Raw genomic sequence first — 16,600 nt, 5'->3', positions numbered from 1 at the left:
AAAGTAAAATAGCCAGGCATGGTGGCTCACGCCTGTAATCCCAACACTTTGGGAAGCCGAGTTGGGCAGATCACGAAGTCAGGAGTTTAAGACCCTCCTGGCTAACATGGTGAAACCCTGTATCTACTAAAAATACAAAAATTAGCTGGGTGTGGTGGTGCATGCCTGTAATCCCAGCTACTCAGGAGGCTGAGGCGGGAGAATTGCTTGAACTCAGGAGGCGGAGGTTGCAGTAAGCCAAGACCATGCCACTGTACCCCAGCCTGGGCCACAGACCGAGACTCTGTCTCAAAAACAAACAAACAAACAAACAAGTAAATAAGGGACAGGCACGATGGCTCACGCCTGTAATCCAAGCACTTTGGGAGGCCGAGGCGGGCGGATCGCCTGAGGTCAGGAGTTCGAGGCCAGCCTGACCAATATGGAGAAACCCCATCTCTACTAAAAATACAAAATTAGCCAGGCGTGGTGGTGCATGCCTGTAATCCCAGCTACTCAGGAGGCTGAGGCAGGAGAATCGCTTAAACCCGGGAGGCAGAGGTTGTGGTGAGGCGAGATCATACCATTGCACTCCAGCCTAGGCGACTAGAGCGAAACTCCGTCTCAAATAAAAATAAAAAATCAGTGCTTTGCCATAAGACCACCTGTGGCCAGCCTTCTGGAAACCCTACTTGAGTGTGCTCTTGGACTTTTACCTGAGTTTTGATTATCCATCCCTAACAAGGCACCATTTTCCCCCAGAGAGTTTCAATTTGGCAGAATACTGAATCATTTTTCAAAGCCTTAACTTTTTTTATTAAATCCTCAGTTAACATCTGACTGATTTATGGCTCATTTTCTGCTTAGCATTTGTATGCTTTTCAAACCATTTGAAATGTACTTTTAAAAAATTGTTTGTGCTTTGTAGTGTGGTTATGAAAGGGAAAAAAGTCATTTGGATATAGATTTACTGGTTTTTATATTATACTCTAGTAATGTAAGGTCTTACCGTTGGTGGAAGCTGGGTGAAGGGTACAAGGAACTCTGTACTATTTTGCCGCTTCCTGTGAGTCTATAATTATTTCAAAATAAAAAGATTATTTAAAAAAGAATGTGGGGGCCAGGAGCATTGGCTCATGCCTATAATCCAAGCACTTTGGGAGGCTGAGGTGGGCGGATTGCTTGAGCTCAGGAGTTTGAGACCAGCCTGGGCAACATGGCAAAACCCTGTCTCTAAAAAAAGAAAAAAGAAAAAGAATGTGGGGAAAAATCATTTGGAGACTTAAAATGTAGAAACAAAGAACATAAATGTGGTATAAGAAGTTTTAGGTGACAATATAGTTTTGAGGCTAAACCAAAAAGGAAAAGGAGATATATCTGACTGTATATCTAAGAACTCACCAATAAGAAAGACGTGGGCCCTGCTCTGTTGCCTGCCTTTGCTCCCCAGGCCCCGAGTGGTTCACTGAGCCATGAAGACAGATTCCAGGCACCAGGAATTGCACCTCCAATCCCAGATGCTATGTTCAGCAAAGGCTCCATGGTTCTGGCCTACAGTGCCGGCCTGGACACCTCCTGCATCCTCGTGTGGCTGAAGGAACAAGGCTATGACATTATTGCCTACCTGGCCAATGTTGGCCAGAAGGAAGACTTCAAGGAAGCCAGGAAGAAGGCACTGAACCTTGGGTCCAAAAAGGTGTTCATTGAGGACGTCAGCAAGGAGTTCGTGGAGGAGTTCATCTGGCCTGTATGAGGACTGCTACCTCCTGGGCCCCTCTCTTCCCAGGCCTTACATCACCCGCAAACAAGTGGAAATTGCTCAGTGGGAGGGGGCAAAGTATGTGTCCCACAGTGCCATGGGAAAGGGGAACGATCAGGTCTGGTTTGAGCTCGCCTGCTACTCGCTGGCCCCCCAGATTAAGGTCATTGCTCCCGGGAGGATCCCTGAGTTCTACAACCAGTCCAAGGGCCGCAGTGATCTGATGGAATATGCAGAGAAACATGGGATTCCCATCCCAGTCACTCTGAAGCACCCATGGAACATGGACGAGAACCTCATGCACATCAGCCACGAGGCTGGAATCTTGGAGAACCCCAAGAACCAACCACCTTCAGGTCTCTACATGAAGATTCAGGACCTGGCCAAAGCCCCCAACACCCCCAACATTTTCAAGACTGAGTAAAAAAGGGGTCCCTGTGAAGGTGACCAGCATCAAGGATGGCACCACCCACCAGACCTCCTTGGTGCTCTTCATGTACCTGAATGAAGTCGCAGGCAAGCACAGCGTGGGCCATATTGACATCGTGGAGAACCGCTTCATTGAAATGAAGTCCTGAGGTATCTGCAAGACCCCAGCAGGCACCATCCTTTACCACCCTCATTTAGACATTGAGGGCTTTGCCATGGAACAGGAAGTGCGCAAAATCAAACAAGGCCTGGGCTTGAAATTTGCTGAGTTGGTGTACACCGGTTTCTGGCACAACCCTCAGTGTGACTTTGCCCACCACTGCATTGCCAAGTCCCAGGACCGAGTGGAAGGGAAAGTGCAGGTATCCATCTTCAAGGGCCAGGTGTACATCCTCTGCCAGGAGCCCCCACTGTCTCTCTACAGTGGAGAGCAGGTGAGCATGAACGTGGAGGGCAATGATGAGCCAGCCAGTCGGTGACACCAGTCTCATCAACATCAATTCCCTCAGGATGAAGGAATATCATCATCTCCAGAGCAAGGTCACTGCCAAATAGACCCCTGTACAATGGGGAGCTAGGGCCACCTCACTTTGCAGATTCCCCAAGTACAGGCACTAATTGTTGTGATAATTTGTAATTGTGACTTGTTCTCCCTGGCTAAGAGTGTAGTGGGGCTGCCGGGCCCCAGCTTTGTTCCCTGGTCCCCCTGAAATGGTCATCAAAGGGAAGGGTGAGGGGCAGCTACAGTGGGGAGCTATAAAATGACAATTAAAAAAAAAAAAAAAAAAGACTAAGGCCAGCCACGGTGGCTCACGTCTGTAATCCCTGCACTTTGGGAGACCGAGGTGGGCAGATCACCTGAGGTCAGGAGTTTGAGACCAGCCTGGCCAACATGGTGAAACCCCATCTCTACTAAAAAATACAAAAATTAGCTGGGCGTGGTGGTGTGTGCCTGTAATCCCAGCTACTTGGGAGGCTGAGGCAGAAGAATAGCTTGAGCCTGGGAGGCAGAGGTTGCAGTGAGCAGAGATCGCATCATTGCACTCCATCCTGGGCTACAGAACATGACTCCGTCTCAAAAAAATAAATAAATAAAGACTAAATAAAAGATCTAATAGAACCTAATAGAAAAGTGGGCAAAGGACATGACTGAACAGATAATACATACACAAAAATTATATTCAGTGTTACTAGCAAGAAGAAATGCAAATTAAAACAGCAAAGAAGGCCGAGTGCGGTGGCTCACGCCTGCAATCCCAGCACTTTGGGAGGCCGAGGAGGGTGGATCACAAGGTCAGGAGTTCAAGATCAGCCTGGCCAATATGGTGAAACCCTGTCTCTACTAAAAATACAAAAAAAATTAGCCAGGCATGGTGGCGGGTGCCTGTTGTCCCAACTACTTGGGAGGCTGAGGCAGGAGAATCGCTTGAACCTGGGAGGCAGAGGTTGCAGTGAGCTGAAATTGCGCCACCACACTCCAGCCTGGGTGACAGAGCAAGACTCCGTCTAAAAAAAAAAAGAAAAAAAAAAAACAGAAAGAAATAGCCTCTTTTTACTTTTTAAATTGGCAAAACTGGGCTGGGCATAGTGGCTCGTGGCACTTTGTAAGGCTGAGGTGAGAAGATCACATGGGGCCAGGAGTTTGAGACCAGCTTGGGCAACAGAGTGAGAACTTGTCTCTACAAAAAAAATTTGTTTTTAATTAGCCAGGCACGGTGGTACATGCCTGTAGTCCCAGCTACTCGGGAGGCTGAGATGGGAGGATAACTTGAGCCTAGGAAATTGAGGCTGCAGTGAGCCGTGATTGTGCCACTACACTACAGCCGGGGTGACAGAGTGAGACACTGTCTCAAAAAATAATAAATGGGCAAAACTTTTTAAAAATTATAATACTGCCAGACATGGTGGCATGCACTGGTAATCTCAGTTACTTGGGAGGCTAAGATAGGAGGATCACTGTAGCCCAGGAGTTCAAGGCCACAGTTAGCTATGACTGTGCCTGTGTATAGCCACTGCACTCCAGCCTGGGCAACACAGAGAGACCCTATCCCTGAAATTAAAAATAGGCCAGGTAAGGTGGCTTATACCTACAATCCCAACATTTTGGGAGGCCCAGGTGGGAGGACTGCGTAAGGCCAGGAATTGAAGACCAGCCTGGGCAACATAGCAAGACCCCATCTCTACCAAAAATAGATTAAAATAAATAAATAGTTGTTTGATAATAATGCAAATAAATAAATAATATAATGCTGGTGCTGTCATGAACCCCCCAAAATGAGTACTCTTACTCTGGGTGGGAATATAAGTTTATACCCCCTTTCTAGATAGCAGTTTTATTCCTAGGGATTTGTTATTAGGAAACAATTGCATATATACACAAAGATACAGCTAGGAGAATATTCATTTCAGCACTTTATATTTGCAGACAATCTAAATTTGAAAAAACAGGGTATTTATTGGTTAAATTATTATAAATTCTTACAACAAGGTCTTATATATCCATCAAAAATTATGTTTTAGGAAAATATGTCACAACATGGAAAAATGTTCTTAATATATTAAGTTTAAAAAAGTAGGCTATAAAAAAAGATTCTATTTTAGTTTCAAGACATGTTTATTTTCAAGACATCATTGAAAATACATCATTTTCAAGCTATTTTATTTATGTGTTTATGTTTTTCTCTTTTTCTATATATAAATATAAATTTGGAAGAGAAGATTAAAATGATATTTACTGGCTGGGTGCAGTGGCTCACGCCTGTAATCCCAGCACTTTGGGAGGCTGAGGTGGGTAGATCACAAGGTCAAGAGATCGAGACCATCCTGACCAACATGGTGAAACCCTGTCTCTACTAAAAATACAAAAATTAGCTGAGTGTGGTGGCGTGCACCTTTAGTCCCAGCTACTCAAGAGGCTGAGGCAGGAGAATCACTTGAACCCGAGAGGCGGAGGTTGCAGTGAGCCAACATCACGCCACTGCACTCCAGCCTGGTGACACAACAAGACTCCATCTCAAAAAAAAAAAAAAAAAAAAAAAAAAAAGGCAAGACACAGTGGCTCACGCCTGTAATCCCAGCACTTTGGGAGACAGAGGGAAGTAGATCACCTGAGGTCAGGAGTTCGAGACCAGCCTGACCAACATGGAGAAACCACTTCTACACTGAAGATACAAAATTAGCCAGGCGTGGTGCTCATGCCTGTAATCCCAGCTACTTGGGATGCTGAGGCAGGAGAATCACTTGAACCCAGGAGGCGGAGGTTGCAGTGAGCCGAGATTGCACCGTTGCACTCCAGCCTGGGCAACAAGAGCGAAACTCCGTCTCAAAAAAAAGGCCGGGCGCAGTGGCTCACACCTGTAATCCCAGCATTTTGGGAGGCCGACGCAGGTGGATCACAAGGTCAGGAGATCGAGACCATCCTGGCTAACATGGTGAAACCCCGTCTCTACTAAAAATACAAAAAATTAGCCGGGTGTGGCGGCGGGCGCCTGTAGTCCCAGCTACTAGGGAGGCTGAGGCAGGAGAATGGCGTGAACCCGGGAGGCGGAACTTGCAGTGAGCCCAGATCACTTCACTGCACTCCAGCCTGGGCAACGGAGGGAGACTACGTCTCAAAAAAAAAGTTATATTTACTGGTCCGGTTGTAGTGGCTCACGCCTGTAATCCAGCACTTTGGGAGGCCGAGGCAGGCAGATCGCTTGAGGTCAGGAGTTCAAGACCAGCCTTGCCAACATGGTGAAACCACATGTCTACTAAAAATACAAAAATTAGCTGGGTGTGGTGGCGCACACTTGTAATCCCAGCTACTTGGGAGCCTAATGCAGGAGAATTGCATGAACCTGGGAGGCGGAGGTTGCAGTGAGCCGAGATCGCACCAGTGCACTCTGGCCTGAGAGACAGAGTGAGACTCGGTCTCAAAAAAAACAAAACAAAACAAGAAATGTGTTGGGATTGGGATACTCAGATCTCTGGTCCAGTGTCATCAGCTGGGTCACTGCACCTGATCATCAGTACAGACCCAAAATATCAATATAGTTTTCTCCCACATGGCCTCAATGTGGTATAGACACCCAGAGCCACTGCACCTATATTCATACTTCTTGGTGGAAAAAAAAAAAAAAAAGCATGTGCTTGTTCTGCTTTCAGAAGGAAACAAAATAAGAAAGAAAGGGAACAAACAGGAAAGCTATTCAAGCAAGACTGAGCAAGACTGGTTTTGTGCTTTTGTGCCAAGAGATACTTTCTATGAGAATATATATATTATATGTCTATTTTTACAAATACTTGTTGTTTAGGTGAAAAGCCCAGAAGGAAAATTTCAGAAGACCAGTACTGGAGCTGTCAGAATGCAACCAAAATCAGCTGAGTTGAAGTTTGTCACCAAGAACGATGGATATGTACACATTCACCCTTCATCAGTGAACTATCAGGTCAGAATGGTGGAGTATACTTAATGTTTACAGGTCGTCCTGGGGTAGGAAATGCAATTCCTTAAATTCAGCCACACCATGTTCTATCACTTGCTGTCCCCAGCAATACCACTGACTGAGGGAAGATTGAATAAGAATAAACAGACTGGAAATTGGACTATTTCTGGAAAGACTATTTCCATTTGAAGAAAATTCTACTGAATACCAAAAAGTACTCAAGCCTGCTTTCAGATATAAAATTGTTTCTTTGCAATGGTAATTGAAGTCATGAGCTAATTACATCACTGAATCTGTGCCTTAAAAGGAAATGAATGACCTATTCTTGCATACCACTTCCTCAGCTCTCAGCCTGCCACTGAGGCTTCTGCCCCCACCACTTCACTAAACCCATCAGAAGTAACAAATAACTTCTTAGTTGTCAAAGCCAGTGTCATCCCTTGGTCCTCATCATGCCACCTCTCACATGGTATTTGACATTGCTAATCTGTCTTCCTCTTGAAATTCTCCTTGATGTTATTTTTGCTTCTGAAATATCACTTTCTTCTCTCTCTCTATTCATCCCCTCTATCTCCTTTATTAGCTTATCTTCCTTTGCTCTGAAACAGTGGTTCTATCCTTTGTCCTTATTCTCTCACCATCATGCCCTCTTCCTGAACCACCAAAGGCACAACAGCACTTACACATCCCAACTGCCACTTACACACAGACGCAGACCCCAAATCTGTCTCTCCAGACCTGCAGTTTTTTTCTGAGCTCTCCTGCTGGAAAACATCAGCTAGAAGTCTTTTAGTCATCTCAAACATAAAAGCTGAAAAATCAAACTCAATGATCCCCAATTCACTCTTCTCTTTCTGTGCTGTCTTGGTGGAATGATACCATCAAAACCAGAACCCTGAAGTCACATAGACTCCCACTTCTTTTCTTATGCCAACTGAGTTGGTCACCAGGTCCCAAGAATGCCTCCTTGTTGACATCTCTAAGATTTGCCTTTTATCCCCACTGCCACTTCCTTAGCTCAAACCCCAAACATCATTTGCCTGAAATTCTATAATAATCTTACATCTGGTGCTTTCTGTCTCCAACCTTCTACTACTCTACTGCTGCCAGAATTACCTTTACAAAACATCAATTAGACTATGTCAATTCCTTGCTTAAATCTTCATATCCAGAGTGTACCACACACTCTCACATGACTCCTTACATGGCCCTTCCTATACCTTGTCACCAAATTTGAAACATTCAGGCTGCTCTATCCTCTGGAACTACTGAGGACCATGTTCACAAAGCCTGGAAAGGATTTCCTTAAGCTTAGAGGAGTTTGAGGGTCAGGAGGTCATCTGCCTTTTCAGCCTGTTAGGAACCAGACGCCTGAGTTAGCTCCACACCCCCTCCTTTTTTATATATACTTTTTGTTGTTGTTGTTTTGCATGTTTCTCAAGAAAGAACTACTCCTCTTTTGAGAATCCAAATCGTTCATGTATCCATGTAATATCTACTAGCGCCTAATCTGTGCCAGGCACTGTTGTAGGCTGTTGAGGACAGTGGAAGAAACTAGATGGACACAGTCTCTGCCCTCAAGAAGCTTATGTTCTAGTGAGGGAGACAGGCAATACATAAGTAAACAGAATCTCAGGTAATGCTATAAAGCAAAATAGAGCAGGATAGAGAGACAGAGAGTGACAGGAGAGGGGCCCTGCACGTGGGGTGGTCAGGGAAGAACTCCGGGATGAGAAACAACTGAGCAAATCCTAAATGAAGAGCAAGTCATGCAGATAGAGAGAAAGGAGAAACATTCCAGCAGAGGACATAAGTGCAAACATCACAAGGTGGGAGTGTATTTGGTGTGTTCCAGGAAATGCATGAAGAGGCCAGTGGAGAGGGATGATCAAGGGTGAGAGTGGTGGGAGATGCACGGGGACGAGTAGGCAGGGGTGGGGTAGGGCTGGGTGGACCTGGTAGCCATGGCAAGGACTTGAGATTTTTATCCTTGGACACCATTGGAGGGTTTTGAGCCATAATTGGACTTATTGTTTTTGTTTTTATTTTTATTTTTATTTTATTTATTTATTGAGACAGAGTCTCTCTCTGTCACCCAGGCTAGAGTGCAGTGGCACAATCTCAGCTCACTGCAACCTCCACTTCCCAGGTTCAAGGGATTCTCATGCCTCAGCCCCCTGAGTAGCTGGGATTACAGGCATGTGTCATCGCTCCCAGCTAATTTTTGCAGTTTTGTAGAGACGGGGTCTCACCATGTTAGCCAGGCCAGTTTCAAACTCCTGGCCTCAGGTGATCCACCTGCCTCAGTTTCCCAAAGTGCTGGGATTACAGGCGTGAGCCACCACGCCCTGCCAGACTTATGTTTTTAAAAGATCACCTTGATTGCTGGGTAGGAAAGACACTATAAAAATGCAAAACTAGAAGTGGGGACAGCACTCTAGAAGGCATCACAGTGGTTTCTGTGAGATGACAATGGTTTGTACTAAATTGGTAGCTGGGTGCCTATAATCCCAGCCCTTTGAAAGGCCGAGGCGGGCGGATGACTTGAGGTCAGGAGTTTGAGACCAGCCTGGCCAACATGGTGAAACCCCATCTCTACTAAAAATACAAAAATTCGCCAGGTGTGATAGTGCAAGCCTGTAGTCCCAGCTACTTGGGAGGCTGAGGCAGGGGAATCACTTGAACCTAGGAGGTAGAGGTTGCAGTGAGCCAAGATCATGCCACTGCACTCCAGCCTGGGTGACAGAGCGAGACTGCATCTCAAAAAAAAAAAGGCTGGGTGTGGTGACTCACACCTGTAATCCCAGGACTTTGGGAGGCCGAGGCAGGCAGATCACCTGAGTTCAGGAGTTCAAGAACAGCCTGGCCAGCATGATGAAATCCCTGTCTCTACTAAAAATACAAAAATCAGCCAGGCATGGTGGCAGGCGCCTATAATCCCAGCTACTTGGGAGGCTGAGGCAGGAGAATCACTTGAACCTAGGGGGCAGAGGTTGCAGTGAGCCGAGATCACACCATTGCACTCCAGCCTGGACAAAAAGAGCAAAACTCTGTCTCAAAAAAAAAAAAAAATTTGTTAGCTGTAGAAGTGGTGAGAATATGTCAAGGCATTTTGTAATTTGAAAAGAGAGCTGACTAGACTTAGTGACAGTGTAGATGGTGTGAGGGGAAAAAAATAGTCAATGATGACTCCTAAATTGGGGGCCTGAGCAGCTGGGTGAATGGGAGCATCATTTCCTGAGATAGGGAACACTGCAAGGAAGAAGAATCAAGAATTCCATCTGGGCCAGGCACAGTGGCTCACACCTGTAATCCCAGCAATTTGGGAGGCCAAGGCAGAAGGATTGCTGGAGCCCAGGAGTTCGAGACCAGCCTGGGCAACATGGTGAGACCCTATCTCTACGAAAAAATTTAAAAAATAAAAGCTTTTTTTTTTTTAAACACAAGTGTGAGATATGTATTAAATGTCCAAGAGGAGATGGCAAGTCAATAGTTATACTGCAGATCTGGAGCTCAGGAAAGTCACGGGCTATAGATAAATTTGGGGAGTCATTAATAGGCAGTATTTAAATCCGTGGGACTGGGGGGTTGTTCCCTTTTTGTTGCCAGTGACATCACTGTCATCATCTGAGGTTTTTTGTTACAGGTGAGACACTTTGACAGCCCCTACCTGTTGTACCACGAGAAGATAAAAACTAGTCGAGTATTCATCCGAGACTGCAGCATGGTGTCTGTGTACCCGCTGGTCTTGTTTGGAGGAGGCCAAGTGAATGTGCAGCTTCAAAGAGGAGAGTTCGTTGTCTCCCTGGATGATGGTTGGATCCGTTTTGTAGCTGCTTCCCATCAGGTAAAGGCAGAATTGGTCTGTTTTATGAGGCTCAGGCCATGAGGGGCTTTGACAATATGAAGTTATGAAGTCAAGGGCATTCCTCTAGGGACCAAGGTAACAGAGCTAATTAAAAATGAATGACGGTGGCCGAGCCCAGTGGCTCACACCTATAATCCCAGCACTTTGGGAGGCCGAGGCAGGCAGATCATCTGGGGCCAGGAGTTCGAGACCAGCCTGGCCAACATGGTCAAACCCCGTCTCTACTAATAATACAAAAATTAGCTGGGCATGTTGGTGGGTGCCTGTAATCCCAGCTACTCAGGACGCTGAGACATGAGAATCGCTTGAACCTAGGGGGCAGAGGTTGCAGTGAGCCGAGATCGTGCCATTGCACTCCAGCCTCGGCAACAGAGCGAGATTCCTTCTCAAAAAAAAAAAAAAAAAGTGAATGATGGTCTACAATGAGACACTAAGAAAGAGTGAGGCTGAAGTGAAGCCAGGAGTGGAGCCCTAGTAAGAGTTCCAGAAAGCACACTGTGAGGGGAAGTCTGGTACGGGCTGAGGTTAGTATAAAAGGCTAGGACAGAAGCTGTAAAGTGAGGGTGCTGGACCTTCCTTATTGTTATATAAATAATAGATGTTCACCAAAGAAAAGTCAGAAAATACAGATAAGCAAAAATAAGTAAATAAAAACCACCCTGATTCCACCACTACCATTTTGAGAAAAAGATAATGGGTCTGAATTCTTCATTTATTCTCAGGTCTCAATTATTCCCTATATGGAGTCTCTGTGAAAAACATATCATGGAGAGTACATATTTAAGAAACAGAACTTCACCCAGGTGCGGTGGCTTACGCCTGTAATCCCAGCACTTTGGGAGGCCAAGGTGGGCAGATCACCTGAGGTCAGGAGTTCGAGACCAGCCTGGCCAATATGGTGAAACCCCATCTCTACTAAAAATTTTAAAAAATTAACCAGGTGTGGTAGTGGGCGTCTGTAATCCCAGCTATTCAGGATGCTGAGGCAGGAGAATCTCTTGAGCCCAGGAGGCGGAGGTTGCAGTGAGCCGAGATTGCGCCATTGCACTCCAGCCTGAGCAACAAGAGGGAAACTCCATCTCAAAAAAATGAATATATAAAAATACAAAAAAAAAAATTAGCTGGGCGTGGTGGCGGGCGCCTGTAATCCCAGCTACTCAGGAGGCTGAGACAGGAGAATCACTTGAACCCAGGAGGCAGAGGTTGCAGTGAGCCGAGATTGCACCACTGCACTTCAGCCTGGGTGACAGAATGAGACTCCGTCTCAAATAAATAAATAAATAGATAGATAGATAAAACTTCAGGTGGACACCCGTAATCCCAACTGCCAGAGGCTGAGGTGGGAGGATTGCTCAAGCCCAAGAGGTCGAGGCTTCAGTGAGCCATGATTGCACCACTGCACTCCAGCCTGGGTGACAGAGTGAGACTCTGTCCCAAAAAAAGAAATAAATAAAATTTCATTTTAATATCTGCATCTGTTAGAATTCTTATGTTACAAGAAGCAGATATGCCAACTCAAACATTAAAAGAAATTGATTGGCATATTTAACTTTAAAGTCCAGAGCAGCAGTGTCCAACAGAAATATAATGTGACCCACATATGTAATTTTAATTGTTCTAGTAGCCACATTTTTAAAAGTAAAAAGAAATAGATGAAATTAATCTTAATATATTTTATTTAACCTAATACATCCAAAATGTTTTAATTTTAACATGTAATCAATATAAAATTATTAAGATAGTTTACATTACCTTTTCATATTAAGTCTTCAAAATCGGGTATATATTTTATATTCGCAGCACATCTCAGTTTGGGCTGGCCACATTTCATATAGACATTAGATAAGCCACTTGTGACTAGTGGCTACCTTACTGGATAGTCCAGGTCAAGAAGGCCAGGCAACGTTGGTTTGATTTAGCAGTTCAGTGGTGACAAAAACGTGGTTAACCTAGTGGTATCGAAAGGGCTGCAATAGCTCCTGGCATCACATGTATGCAGCATATGGTCCAGAAGAAGAGCCAGAAACTTTCTTGCCTACAAGCTCAATCAAAGCTCCCCTCCTAAACCAATCCCTGTGACCAAAGGGATGTCCTGAACTTGAATACCTGGAGTACCTGAGCCATTCACCCTGGCAGGGCTCACAGTGTGAACCTGTGTTAGAGCAGGGTCCGAACTGTATGTTTCCCATACAGTGGGGAAGGGGCAAAACAGATGCTGGGAAGATGTCTACAGTGCCACAACATCAGCATAAGCAAAATGCCATAAAGCATACAGTATATCCCAAAGCTACAGAGATTTTTGATTCATCTAATATCTTCCACTTATTTATTTTTTTTTTTGAGGTGGAGTCTTGCTCTGTCACCCAGGCTGGAGTGCAGTGGCGCAATCTCGGTTCACTGCAACCTCCGCCTCCCGGGTTCAAGCAATTCTCCTGCCTCAGCATCCTGAGTAGCTGGGACTGCAGGCGTACACCACCAAGCCCGGCTATTTTTTTTTTTTTTTTTTTTGAGATGGAGTTTCGCTCTTGTTGCCCAGGCTGAAGTGCCATGGTGCCATCTCGGCTCACCACAGCCTCTGCCTCCCGTGTTCAAGCGATTCTCCTGCCTCACCCTCCCAAGTAGCTGGGATTACAGGCATACGCCACCACCCGGCTAATTTTGTATTTTTAGTAGAGACGGGGTTTCTCCATGTTGGTCAGCCTGGTCTTGAACTCCCGACCTCAGGTGATCTGCCCGCCTTGGCCTCCCAAAGTGCTGGGATTACAGGCATGAGCCACCGCGCCAGGCTAATTTTTGTATTTTTATTAGAGACGGAGTTTCACCATTTGGACAGGCTGATCTCAAACTCCTGACCTTGTGATCCGCCCACCTCGGCCTCCCAAAGTGCTGGGATTACAGGCGTGAGCCACTGAGCCTGGCCCACTTTTTTTTTTTTTTTTTTTTGAGATGGAGTTTTGCTCTTGTTGCCCAGGCTGGAGTGCAATGGCGCGATCTCGGCTCACCACAACCTCTGCCTCCTGGGTTCAAGCAATTCTCCTGCCTCAGCCTCCCGAGTAGCTGGGATTACAGGCATGTGCCACCATGCCTGGCTAATTTTGTATTTTTAGTAGAGATGGGGTTTCTCCATGTTGGTCAAGCTGGTCTCGAACTTCCACCTCAGGTGATCCGCCCACCTCAGTCTCCCAAAGTGCTGGAATTACAAGCGTGAGCCACCCGGCCCAGCCTATCTACCACCCTTTTTTTTTTTTTTTTTTTTGAGACAACAAGGTCTGCAGTGGAGTGATCGGTGATCAGTAAATTTTCTTTTCCTTTTTTTTTCTTTTTTTTGAAACGGAGTTTCGCTCTTGTTGCCCAGGCTAGAGTGCAATGGCGCAATCTTGGCTCACCGCAACCTCCACCTCCCAGGTTCAAGCGATTCTCCTGCCTTAGCCTCCCAAGTAGCTGGAATTATAGGCATGCACCACCATCCCAGCTAATTTTGTACTTTTAGTACTAAGAGACGGGGTTTCTCCACATTGGTCAGGCTGGTCTCGAACCCCTGACCTCAGGTGATCTGCCCATCTCGGCCTCCCAAAGTGCTGGGATTACAGGCGTGAGCCACCGGGCCCGGCCCTCTCTACCACTTTTAATTCCCCATTTTCCTGCTTCTCCTCGTGGAATAAATCATAAAAATTGACCAAACTTTAATATGGAGAACACTATATAAAAGCCATACTTCCAGACTGAATCTTTTCTTTTTTGGGGAGCAGGGGGGACAGAGTCTCGCTATGTCACCCAGGCTGGAGTGCAATGGCGCGATCTCAGCTCACTGCAACCTCCACCTCCTGGGTTCAAGCCATTCTCCTGCCTCAGCCTCTGAGTAGCTGGGATTACAGGCGCATGCCACCACAACTCGCTAATTTTTGTATTTCTAGTAGAGACAGGATTTCACCATGTTGGCCAGCCTGGTCTTGAACTCCTGATCTCATGATCCGCCCGCCTTGGCCTCCCAAAGTGCTGGGATTACAGGCGTGAGCCACTGCGCCTGGCCCGAATCTTTTCTTTAGATGAGATGTGATAGAGGCACTTTTTTACAATGGACCTCATTTAGTCTATTACAAAATGAAAATGTATTTAGGGTTTTTGCTCCTAATGGAGTTAAAATTAGTACCAGAAATCTAAATAATGGTAATCATAACTTGGGTATTTCCCTCCAATAACCTATCCTGCCTGTTCCTCCAAGCACTGCTTATATTGTAGCTTTCATTTTAGGTGGCTGAACTGGTAAAGGAGCTTCGTTGCGAACTTGATCAGCTTCTCCAGGATAAAATTAAAAACCCAAGCATTGATCTGTGTACGTGTCCTCGAGGATCCCGGATCATCAGCACAATTGTGAAACTTGTCACCACACAATAAAAAGCAGTCTTAGAGAGTGCTTGCTACTCACCTGCTTCTAGCTCACCTGGGAAATAACAGCAGAACCTCTACCTCGAACTAAAGACCTATTGGGGCTGGCCCTGGTGGAGGAGCCCAGGGCATGAAGCCCAAGGCAGCTGAGGCAGTGTATATACCCTTAGGGCCATTTCTAACAAAGCCTTGGCCACTCCCAGCACAATTTGGAGTGTCAAGGGTGAGAGCCTAAAACCCAGCTTGCCTGTCTTTGTCTCTGTGATTGTTCTGGAGTGAATTAAGTTCACCTGATAACTCAAAAGTGAATGTATAATACAATTCTGTTTTAATCTGTGTATTCTTTTTCTCCTACTTTTTACTGGGGTGAGAGGGGCATGAAGAGAAATACGCCTTTTTTTTTTTTCTTTTCCTGTCGCCAAGGCTCGACTGAGAGAAGTCAGAACAGAGAAGGGGAAAAAAAACCCAAAATTATGTGAACAAGCAAAATTAAAATTTCATTTTAGGCTATTGGCTACTGAGTAAACTTGACTTGTGAGGGGTTTTTATTTTTACTCATTAAAAGTCAACTTAAAAAAATTGAATGAGTTCTCTTTTGGTATTAAAGTGCAAGCTGGTCTTATCGATAACACTCCTATTCTTAAAAGCAGAACAATCTAGATGTCGTCATAGTTCTACATTTAGGAATCTTTACTCTGTCTTATCAACTCACCCAGACACGAATCACCGAAGGAGAATTTTAATAGCATTCCTGGGGCAGAGTTGGCATGGATGAGGTCAAAAAGGTTACCATCGGATTTACAGCCACCACAATGCTTTCCATGAAATTGCTTATTTTCAACCACCTGTTAGGTTAATGGGGCGCTAGCATTTTGGAAAAACATCAGGGGATTTACATTTTCCCTGGACATCTATCAGTATGGCGAGGAAGGATCCCAAATTGCTGAGTAGAAAAAATATTTGTATGTTTGTTTAGACCTCAGGGCCGGACGCGGTGGCTCATGCCTGTAATCCTAGCACTTTAGGAGGCCGAGGCAGGCCAATCACATGAGGTCAGAAGTTCAAGACCAGCTTGGGCAACTTGGTGAAACCCCATCTCAATTAAAAATACAAAAATTAGCCAGGCATGGTGACAGGTGCCCATAGTCCCAGCTACTCGGGAGGCTGAGGCGGGAGAATCACTTGAACATGGGAGGTGGGGTTTGGAGTGAGCCAAGATTGCACCATTGCACTCCAGCCTGGGTGTCAGAGTGAGACACTGTCTCAAAAATAAAAATTAAAAAATGGACCTCAGGACAGGGTCACTACAGGTTCCATAGTATGGATAGAATTCAAACTAAATCAAAACCATCTCAGTGAAATCAGTGAAAGGTATTCACTTTTCAAGGTATTATTTTAGTTAAGTTTTCAGGAAGTCTGCTTGGCTGTCCAAAATGATTATTATCAAGTATATTTAAGCTTTGGTGCACTTGAAGAGCTTAGACTCTAAGCAGTATTTTTAAAAGGCATCGATTCATGTCATTGCTTTAAATAAAAAACATACATATGCAAGCACCCACAGAATCCAAATTCTGACTTGCTGTTGAAACAAGGCTCCTATTACAGAACTGATTAGGCTGAGACCTTTAGAAGAAATTAAGAAAACTGCATTAAGCCTCTAAAAAAGTTTTGTTTTCCTTTTTTTTTTTTTTTTTTTGACGGAGTTTCACTCTTATCACCCCGGCTGGAGTGCAATGGTGGGTTCTCGGCTCA

At 45.3% G+C, this 16,600-nt stretch overlaps 1 protein-coding gene and 1 pseudogene across 6 annotated transcripts in view; both read left to right on the top strand.

Annotated features, from left to right (window-relative positions):
* Positions 1 to 15,427, top strand: part of DHX57 (DExH-box helicase 57) — a 78,206-nt gene extending 62,779 nt beyond the window's left edge. For 5 of the 6 annotated variants that reach the window (NM_001329963.1, NM_198963.3, XM_011533154.3 and 2 more), the window contains 3 exons: positions 6,463 to 6,597; positions 10,241 to 10,441; positions 14,714 to 15,427. In NM_001329963.1, coding sequence (NP_001316892.1) covers positions 6,463 to 6,597; positions 10,241 to 10,441; positions 14,714 to 14,857 — 480 coding nt within the window. In that variant the 3' untranslated portion in view covers positions 14,858 to 15,427. Of the gene's footprint in view, positions 1 to 6,462; positions 6,598 to 10,240; positions 10,442 to 14,701 lie in introns of all 6 variants that reach the window. The other variant, XM_011533156.4, reaches the window with a different exon arrangement.
* On the top strand, positions 1,400 to 2,941 carry ASS1P2 (argininosuccinate synthetase 1 pseudogene 2; annotated as a pseudogene).
* Positions 15,428 to 16,600: the final 1,173 nt, after the last annotated feature.

This window comes from Homo sapiens, chromosome 2 (genome assembly GCF_000001405.40).
Source record: "Homo sapiens chromosome 2, GRCh38.p14 Primary Assembly".
NCBI lineage: Eukaryota > Metazoa > Chordata > Mammalia > Primates > Hominidae > Homo > Homo sapiens.
This window is presented reverse-complemented; position numbering and strand designations above follow the sequence as displayed.